Genomic DNA, 9,648 nt, shown 5'->3' with positions numbered 1-9,648 from the left:
GATTATGGTTTTATTTATTTATTTTTTTGAGATGGAGTTTTTTTTGTTTTGTTTTATTTGCTTTTGTTGCCCTGGCTGGAGTGCAGTGGTGCAATCTCGGCTCACCGCAAACTCCGCCTCCCAGGTTCAAGAGATTCTCCTGCCTCAGCCTCCCAAGTAGCTAGGATTACAGGCACCCACTACCACGTCTGGCTTCTTTGTGTTTTTAGTAGAGATGGGGTTTCACCATGTTGGTCAGGCTGGTCTTGAACTCTTGACCTCAAGCGATCCACCCGCCTCAGCCCCCCAAAGTGCTGGAATTACAGGCATGAGCCACCACGCCTGGCCTGATTATGTTTTGATGGATATACAGAAGCTCTTGCTTTGGTACAGAAACAGGCCCCGCTTTGCTTCGACCTCTGGGCCCCCCACCTTCAGAAATGTCTGGTGCCATTCCTGGCTCCTCCTCTCAGTGGTCTTCCAGGATATCCACTCACAGCTTTCTGATGTCGCCCACCTGTCTCTAGCCCAGATACCCAGTCCTCATGGCAAGTGACTGCAGCAATTTTTACAAATCTACGCCCTTAGGGTTCCCATCCCAGGACGTTCAGGTTTCTCCACCCCTTTAGAAGTGCCCAGAATATCCCCTACCCCACAATTCCAACAGGACGTCACTCTCCTCTTACTTAAGAAAAATGCCTAAAATTCCAGCCCTTCCAAAAGGCCTTTCTAGATTGACCACTCAGGAGTTACTCTGGCCTCCCCTTCACTCCTGCTAGACTGAAAACAAGGACAGACTTGCCTGGCCTCTCTCCCCCAGTAGACACCTACCCCCAGTGAACACATCCTGTCAGTGTCCTCCCGTCCATTTGCAAATTGATTGACTGTTTCATTGCTGGCCTTGGATGACCTCTCCTAGAGGGCAGGGACGGTGGTGTTCGGCAAAGCCTTGGTCGTCTGGATAATGGGAAATGGGGTCTTCTGGTGAATTTAATTACAGGGTTAGGTGGAAACTTTGCTTCAACTCTCATTATTAGAAAGTCTATTGTAAAGCTTTTTAAAATACAACTGACCACTTTCCAGCGAGGGTAGAGTTAATATGCCTTAATCTTTGATTTAGGATCTTGCAGTGCCCCAGGCTCACCATTCTCTTCTGCTACTATAATTATAGATGCGGAAGACATACAGACTGGGCTGACGACTGCTTGGAAGCTAATTTCTAGAATAAACCCTTGCTACCACATCTTGTGATTTTTGCCCTTCTGAAGGTGGAGTTCCAAAATAAAAACAAAATCCCGCTTAACTGAGGGTTCCAGTTGAGGGAGGTCTGCTGCCATGGTCTTTGTTAAGTGCCTGCCACCATGGCCCACAATTAGTCAGTTAATAAAGGGTTCTTGATGAGAGAATTTGGCAACATGTGATTTTCCACAAATATAAGCTTGATTTTGATGCAACCACTCATTTCTTTGAAAATCAGGGGGCATTCACACACAGGTGTTCTAGATTTCCTTACAGTAAAACCAACCCTTTACAAGGAATAGCTGTGTTCACTTTGAAGCAGTAAAGAAGCAGGTGTCCACTCATGGCAAATGAGGAACTCCCCTTTTTTTTTTTTTTTTTGAGACGGGGTCTCGCTCTTTTTGTGTGTGTGTGAGATGGGGGCCACCCAGGCTAGAGTGCAGTAGTGCAATTACAGCTCACTGTAGCCTCAACCTTCTGGGCTCAACCAGTTCTTCCCACCTCAACTTCTGAAGCAGCTGAGACTACAGGTGTGTACCACCATGCCCAGGTAATGCTTTTGATTTTTAGTAAGATGAGGTCTCGTTATATTGCCCAGGCTGGTCTCAAACTCCTGAGCTCAAGTGATCCTCCTGCCTCAGCCTCCCAAAGTGCTAGGATTATCGGCATGAGCCACTATGCCCAGCCAGAAGCTAAAAATATTAATCAAGGAGTCATAACTAAGGATGCACTGCACACCCGAAGCCAGGGACCACAAGAGGTCAGCAACTGGGACTGCTTCCTCCAGTTCCCAGGCTGGGGCTCAGCAGCAGTGGCCTGGGCTCTGGGGACTTACTTTAAGCCGAAATCCCAAACTCATTATCATTCAAACCAATTTTCTGTGTCCAGCATCATCCCACCTAAACTGGTCCTTAAAACCACTGACAGTCATTTCTCCAATCTGTAAAAGGCCTGCTGAGGCCTTTGCATTATCAGGACTTAACTGGGAGTAGAATGCCCTCCCCATCCAAATCCTGACCATTTCTGAACACTCAGCCCATGTCCTCTTCCTGAGTGTCTTCCCCAACAACCACCACCTACACTGAACTTTACTTTGATCTCTGCAGGAAACTGTAGATAGAGATGGGGTCTCACTATGTTGCCTAGCTGGTCTTGAACTGCTGAGCTCAAGTGATCTCCCTGCTTCTGCCTCCCAAAGTGCTAGGAGGCTAGCAGTGAGCCACCACACCTGGCCTATGTATGCTTTTTTTTTTCTTTTCTTTTTTTTTTTTTTGAGACAGAGTCTTGCTCTGTGGCCCAGTCCGCAGTGCAGTGGTGCAATCTCGGCTCATGGCAACCTCCAGGTTCAAGGCATTTTCCTGCCTCAGCCTTCCAAGGAGCTGGGATTACAGGCACGCACCATCACGCCCAGCTAATTGGCCAGGCTGGTCTCAAACTCCTGACCTCAGGTGATCCACCCACCTTGGCCTCCCAAAGTGCTGGGATTACAGGTGTAAGCCACCACACCCGGCCACGTATGCATTTTAAAACGTTATGCTCAGACGGGGTCTATAGGTTTCACCAGACTGCCAAAAGGATCCATGACACAAAAAAAGTACTCTCAGTTGCATCCTTCGGAACCTTTCAACACATACACATATACCTCACTCATCCTTTTGTGAAGAGTGTCTATTAATCACTAGATTAAGAGGATTTGGATAAAATTTATAAACGTACAAACTTTGCTACCAAGGACTGACACATTTACTTTTCTAGCTCATCAGTTTATGTCCTAGAAAAATTCCAGAGCCACATTAACCAGCTGTTTCCTATTTTTCATTTTACGATGGTGTTTCCACTTTCACCTGCAAAGTGACTAATAGTAATACCTATTACAGTAATTTAAGTAACACCATTTAGAGTAATTTCATCTTTAGTACTGTATTTATACTACTAAGAAAGCCGCCAACGATTCAAGCTGCACTCACTGGTGAAACCCTATGCTATATATGTAATTAATTTATTTCCTAAATTCTTACCTCCCTCCACCCCCTCCATTGGAAAATAAACTCTAAGAATGCAAAAGTTTTTGTGTGTTTTTCTTCAACGCTTAGAGCAGTGCCTGGCACCTAACAGTCAATATCTGCTAACTTTGATGAATGAATGGTATATTTATATTATGCAATATTACTATGCAGCCATGAAACACAATGAGTTAGAGTGGTACCAGCTAATTTAATGGAATTTCCAGAAGTATGAAATTAAGAAAACAAGAAGAAAAGTGTCAAAAATATCATCCCACTTTTTTTTTTCTTCCCTGAAACGGAGTCGTGCTCTGACACCCAGGCTACAGTATAGTGCTGCCATCATGGCTCACTGCAACCTCAACCTTCTGGGCTCAGGGAATCCTTCTACCTCAGCCTCCCATGTAGCTGGGACTACAGGTGTGTGCCACAACGCCCAGCTAATTTATTTTAAATTATTTTTTGTAGAGACAGGGTCTCCCTATGTTGCCCAGGCTGGTCTCAAACTACTAGGCTCAAGTGATCCTCCCACCTCAGCTTCCCAAAGTGTTGGGATTACAGGTGTGAGCCACTGTGCCCAGCCCAATCCCACTTTTTAAAAAGTATACCCCCAAATCCATACACTGGTGAGGAAGTGGAGAACGTGGAATCCTCACACACAGAATGTAAAATGGTACAGCTCTGGAGAACATTTTAGCAGTTTCTCAAAATGTTTAACGTAGCTACTACACGACCCAGCAATTCAACTCCCAGATATACACCTGAGAGAACTGAAAGGATATGTCCACACAAAAATTTGCAGAGGAACTTGTACACACTTGTTCACAGTAGCATTATTCATAATAGCCCAAAGTGGCAAAAACGCAAATGTTCATCAACTGATGGACAAATAAAGCATGAACAACTGATGGACAAATAAAGTATATCATTCAGCATATAAGAAATGAAGTGCTAATACATGCTACAACAGGAATAGACCTTAATAACATTTTGCTAAATGAAAAAAGCCAAACAAAAGGTCACATGTTGTATGATTCCATTTACATAAAAATACCTAGACTAGGCAAATCCATAGAGACACAAAGATCAGTGACTGCCCAGAGCCAGAGGGAGTGGTGAATGTGAAATGGCTACTAATGAGTACAGACTTCTTTTTGAGGTATTGAACATGTTATGGAATCAGATGGTGGTGATCAATGCATAACTTTGTGAATATACCAAAAACCACATGAAAGGTACACTTTAAAAGCCTGAATTTTAAGGTATGTGAATTGTATCTCCATAAACCTGTGATTTTGTTAATATACGCTTATTTGCAAATGAATACATGGATAATGAGGAATAATATGAAAGGTTAATGACAACCTTGGTGATAGGGTACAGGAGACTGGGAGAGGAAGATAAGTGTTGAGGTAGAAGAAGACAAAAAATAAAAGGCTAAAACAATAATCCAGGGCCAGAGGCCATGAGTTGGGAGATGGAGCAAGACGAAGTGTACAAAGAAATGAGCATAAATCATAAAAATGAGGGAACTAGGGTTGAAAACTCCAGCAAGTAGTTTGTAATGGGGGAGATGAAGCAAACCTAAGTAACTGCAATGATTCAACGGAATTTGCAGAAAATGCAGAAGGGCGAGAAAAGCAATGAAAAAATGGATCAGAAGATTTAAAATTGGCTCTACCCCACCAAAGTTTTAAAAAGCAAGCAAGAAGAAAATTCAGTTGCTCCTGGGCAAGAATTCTTGGGCCCAGTGGGGTAGAACCAAACCATGATAAGGAGACACCAGTGTTTTGTAAGCAAGAGAATATATTAAGGAGAGAAAAGGGGCATTTATTGAGAGAAAAGGTCTCACTGTGATTGTTCTGGAATAAAGTAGCCCCATCGGACTGCCTCAGGAACTCATGGTGGAAGAGGTGCCACTGGAAAATGGCTAAGTCGGGATCTTCCCCAAGAACACTAGAAGAGACAGAGGAAGAATAGAAGAGACAGAGGAAGAATAGAAGAGCTTTAAATTTTAGCAGATATTTCTTTTTCTTGTTTAATTAAAATAAATCTTATTGACCTAATATTTTTGAGACTGGGCTCTTGCAATGCTCCCCAGACTGAACTCAAACTCCTAGGCTCAAGAGATTCTTCCACTTCAGCCTCCTGAAAAGCTGGCACTACAGGTGCACACCACTGGGCCCAGCATAATGGCTATTTCTTGACAAATCTTGACAATGCCACCAGTATGTTTTTCTTTAGAGACAGAGTCTCGCTTTGTAGCCCAGGCTGGAGAACAGTGGTGTGATCCTAGCTCACTGCAGCCTCAAACACCTGGACTCAGGAGATCCCCCTGCCTCAGCCTCTCAGGTAGCTGAGACTACAGGTGCGCACCACCACACTTGGCGAATTTTATTTTATTTTTTTTTATTATACTTTAAGTTCTAGGGTACATACACCTGGCTAATTATAAAATGTTTATCTGTACAGACAGGTTCTCGTTATGTTGCCCAGGCTGGTCTCGAACTCTCGGCCTCAAGCAATCCTCTCCTCCTCACCTTCCAAAGCCCCGAAATATGCCCACATCCAGCCTGCCACCAGTTTCTTTGCATACTTCTTTCCTAGGCTTGACCAAGACCTTTACTTTCTTCTGTGTACAGCTCAGCATTGAAAAAAAACAAAAAAGTTTAGGCTGGGCACAATGGGTCACGCCTGTAATCCCAACACTTAGGGTGGCCAAGGTGGGAGGTTTGCTTGAACCCAGGAGTTCCACACCAGCCTAGGCAAGATGGCAAGACCACATCTCTCCAAAACAATTTTTGTAAAATTAGCCAGGTGTGCTGGTGCGGGCCTGCAGTCTCAGCTAGTGAGAAGACTAAGGCAAGAGGAACCCTTGAACCCAGGAGTTCAAGGCTACGGTGAGCTGTGATCACCTCTCCAGCCTGGGTGATAGGGTGAGACCCAGTCTCTGAAAACAATTAAAAATAAAAAAAGTTGAATAATGAGTCTTCTTTTTAGAGGCAATGTATTTTTCCTCTTTTTGTTTTCCTTAGGCTATATGCACAATAGACAAAGTTGAAATTTAATCTTAATCTCGTAAACCCTTACTGTCCAAACACATCAAACTCAAAAAAAAAAAAGACAAAAACAAAAAAGGTGAAAGGTGTACAAGAGAAAAAAGGGAAGTAATCTGTGCCAAATGTACATTCCTTCCACAATTTGGGACAAAAATGATGCCTACCTGGTCTCTGGGTGCCAAAATAAGACATTAGAGACACTCCCCTCCTTCAAGAAATAAAATTGGAATCAGACACTAAGATACAATTAAACAGACTTTGAAAGTTGGTATGCACTACTGGGAGGTGTCTCACAGCTGGCAGGGTCAACTGCAACTAGAAGAAAAGCTCCTAAGGGCAGAAACTAAGTGGCTCACTTCCTCTGTAACACTGCCGTGCCCAGCACTGTACCAGCACCCCAGCAGAGTCAACAACTTTCCGTCAAGCCACACACTTACGGTCTCATCGTCCAGTGGAGGCCGCAGATGAGACATAGTGTGCCAAATCCCAAATGCACAGGGTGCCAGACAAGTCTGCGGGAGGCAGGAGGACTAGGGAAGCCTTCCAGGCAAGGTGATGCCTGAGCTGAGTTGTTTTTCTTTTGAGTTTGGAACATTAATTTAATCGGAGGAAAACAAGGGACATGAAAAGGGCAAGGAAATAAGAAAATGAGCTGAGTTTTGAAGGCAATGATCAGATGAAGTGAGAGAAGAATATTCCAGCAGAGGGAGACAAGGAGACTGCAGAGATTTCAAGGGGCCAAGAGCTGTTCGGTGCAGCTCAGTGAAGCACCTAAACAGAGGTGGGGGAAGGAGAACAGGGGTCAAAGCCCAGTATTGAAGTGTTCTGGATACCAAGCTAAGGAGACCTTATTACGAAGGTACTGGGGCTGCTGAAGGGTTTAAATGGGAGAGTGATTGTGAACAGATTAATAGTTTGGAAAGATACAGGCAGAAGTAAACCTCTGGATTTAACCAAAAAATAAAGGACAGAACCACAATGAAGATGTTGGAAAAGATCAGGAAAAACACTGTTAAAAGATATTCACTCTCGGGGCCGGGCGCTGTGGCTCACGCCTTAAATCCCGGCACTTTGGTAGGCCGAGGCGGGCTGATCACGAGGTCAGGAGATCGAGACCATCCTGGCTAACACGGTCAAACCCCGTCTCTACTAAAAATACAAAAAATTAGCCGGGTGTGGTGGCGGGCGCCTGTAGTCCCAACTACTCCAGAGGCTGAGGCAGGAGAATGGCGTGAACCCGGTAGGCGGAGCTTGCGGTGAGCCGAGATCAGGCCACTGGAATCCAGCCTGGGCGACAGAGGGAGACTCCATCTCAAAAAAAAAAAAAAAAAAAAAGAGAGAGAGAGTCTGACTCTGTTGCCAAGACTGGAGTGCAGTGGCGCGATCTAGGCACATCACAATCCCTTCCCCGCCCCCGGGTTCAAGTGATTCTCCTGTCTCAGCCGCCGGAGTAGCTGGGACTACAGGCGCGTGCCACCATGTCTGATTAAATCTGTATTTTTACTAGAGACGGGGTTTCACTCTGTTGGCCAGGCTGGTCTCCAACTCCTGATCTCGTGATCCGCCCGCCCCGACCTCCCAAAGTGCTGGGATGCGTGAGCCTCCACGCCTGGCCACTAATTTTTCTTTCTTTCTTTCGTGTGTGTGTGTGTGTGTGTGTGTGTGTGTGTGTGTGTGTGTGAGACGAAGTTTCGCTCTTGTTGCCCAGGTTGGAGTGCAATGGTGTGATCTCAGCTCACTGCAATCCCCGCCTCAACAGGAGAGCAGGAATCTTCAGTGATCCACTGGCGGATCTGCAGCCATTGTGCGCGCCAGGTCTTCCCAAGTCTTTTGTGCGCGCGCCTCTCCTTCCAGTACCTATGCCGCCAGCGTCCCCTAGCCTCCCGCCATTGCCAGCAGGTGCTGAGATCGCGCCATTGCACTCCAGCCTGGGGGACAAGAGCGAAACTCCATGTCAAAAAAAAAAAAAAAGGATGAAAATTTTGGGAAAATATGGAAGAAACCAAATGGATTTCTAGCTCAACTAAATCGTAATTATTCAGTGTCTAGTTTTGGCAAGAAACCACATATTTCATGTCCACAATCAGGGACACAGTCCCAGCTCTCAAGTGTGGGTCTTTCCTAAGCAAATTGAAGAACACAGGCATAAAAGTACATTAAATCAATAAACCTTTTTCTCTCTGTCTCTCTCTCTCTCTCTCTCTTTTTTTTTTTTGAGGTGGAGGTTCGCACTGTCACCCAGGCTGGAGTGCAGTGCTGAGATCTCGGGTGACTGCAAGCTCCGCCTCCCGAGTTCACGCCATTCTCCTGCCTCAGCCTCCGGAGTAGCTGGGACTACAGGCGCCCGCCACCACGCCCGGCTAATTTTTTGTAGTTTTAGTAGAGACGGGGTTTCGCTATGTTGGCCAGGCTGGTCTCCAACTCGTGACATCGTGATCCGCCCGCCTCCGACTCCCAAAGTGCCACAGCCCAGGCCTTTTTTTTTTAAGACAGAGTCTCGGCCCGGCGCGGTGGCTCACGCCTTTAATCCCAGCACTTTGGGAGGCCGAGGCGGGCTGATCACGAGGTCAGGAGGTCGAGACCATCCTGGCTAACACGGTCAAACCCCGTCTCTACTAAAAATGCAAAAAATTAGCCGGGTGTGGTGGCGGGCGCCTGTAGTCCGAGCTACTCCCGAGGCTGAGGCAGGAGAATGGCGTGAACCCGGTAGGCGGAGCTTGCGGTGAGCCGAGATCAGGCCACTGGAATCCAGCCTGGGCGACAGAGGGAGACTCCGTCTCAAAAAAAAAAAAAAAAAAAAAAAGAGTCTGGCTCTGTTGCCCAGGGCTGGAGTGCAGTGGCGCGATCTCGGCGCATCGCAATCCCTTCCCAGCCCCCGGGTTCAAGTGATTCTCCTGTCTCAGCCGCCGGAGTAGCTGGGACTACAGGGGCGTGCCACCATGTCTGACTAAATTTGTATTTTTACTAGAGACGGGGTTTCACTATGTTGGCCAGGCTGGTCTCCAACTCCTGATCTCGTGATCCGTCCGCCCCGACCTCCCAAAGTGCTAGGATTATAGGCATAAGCCACCACGCCCGGCCTCTTTTTTTTCTTTTTCTTTTCTTTATCTGGAGACTGAGTTTTGCACTTGTTGCCCAGGCTGGAGTGCAATGGTGCGATCTCAGCTCACTGCAATCTCCACCTCAGCAGGAGAGCAGGAATCTTCAGTGATCCACGGGCAGATCTGCCACCATTGTGGGCACCTGTTCCTCCCGCGACCTTTGTGCTCGCCTCTCTCCTTCCAGTACCTATTGCATGACCCCCCACGTCCGCCTCCCGCCATTGCCAGCAAGTGCCTCGCGCGGGTACCTGGCTGCGCTTATTAATC

The 9,648-nt window shown here is 46.4% G+C and overlaps 1 annotated feature.

Annotated features, from left to right (window-relative positions):
- Positions 8,227-9,095: an enhancer, noted in NCBI's record as "H3K27ac-H3K4me1 hESC enhancer chr22:21483022-21483890 (GRCh37/hg19 assembly coordinates)". NCBI's record gives its function as "activates a minimal SCP1, AML or CMV promoter by ChIP-STARR-seq in primed H9 embryonic stem cells {active_cell/tissue: H9 hESC(primed)}" and the evidence as "EXISTENCE:reporter gene assay evidence [ECO:0000049][PMID:30033119]".

Source organism: Homo sapiens, chromosome 22, assembly GCF_000001405.40.
Source record: "Homo sapiens chromosome 22, GRCh38.p14 Primary Assembly".
NCBI lineage: Eukaryota > Metazoa > Chordata > Mammalia > Primates > Hominidae > Homo > Homo sapiens.
This window is presented reverse-complemented; position numbering and strand designations above follow the sequence as displayed.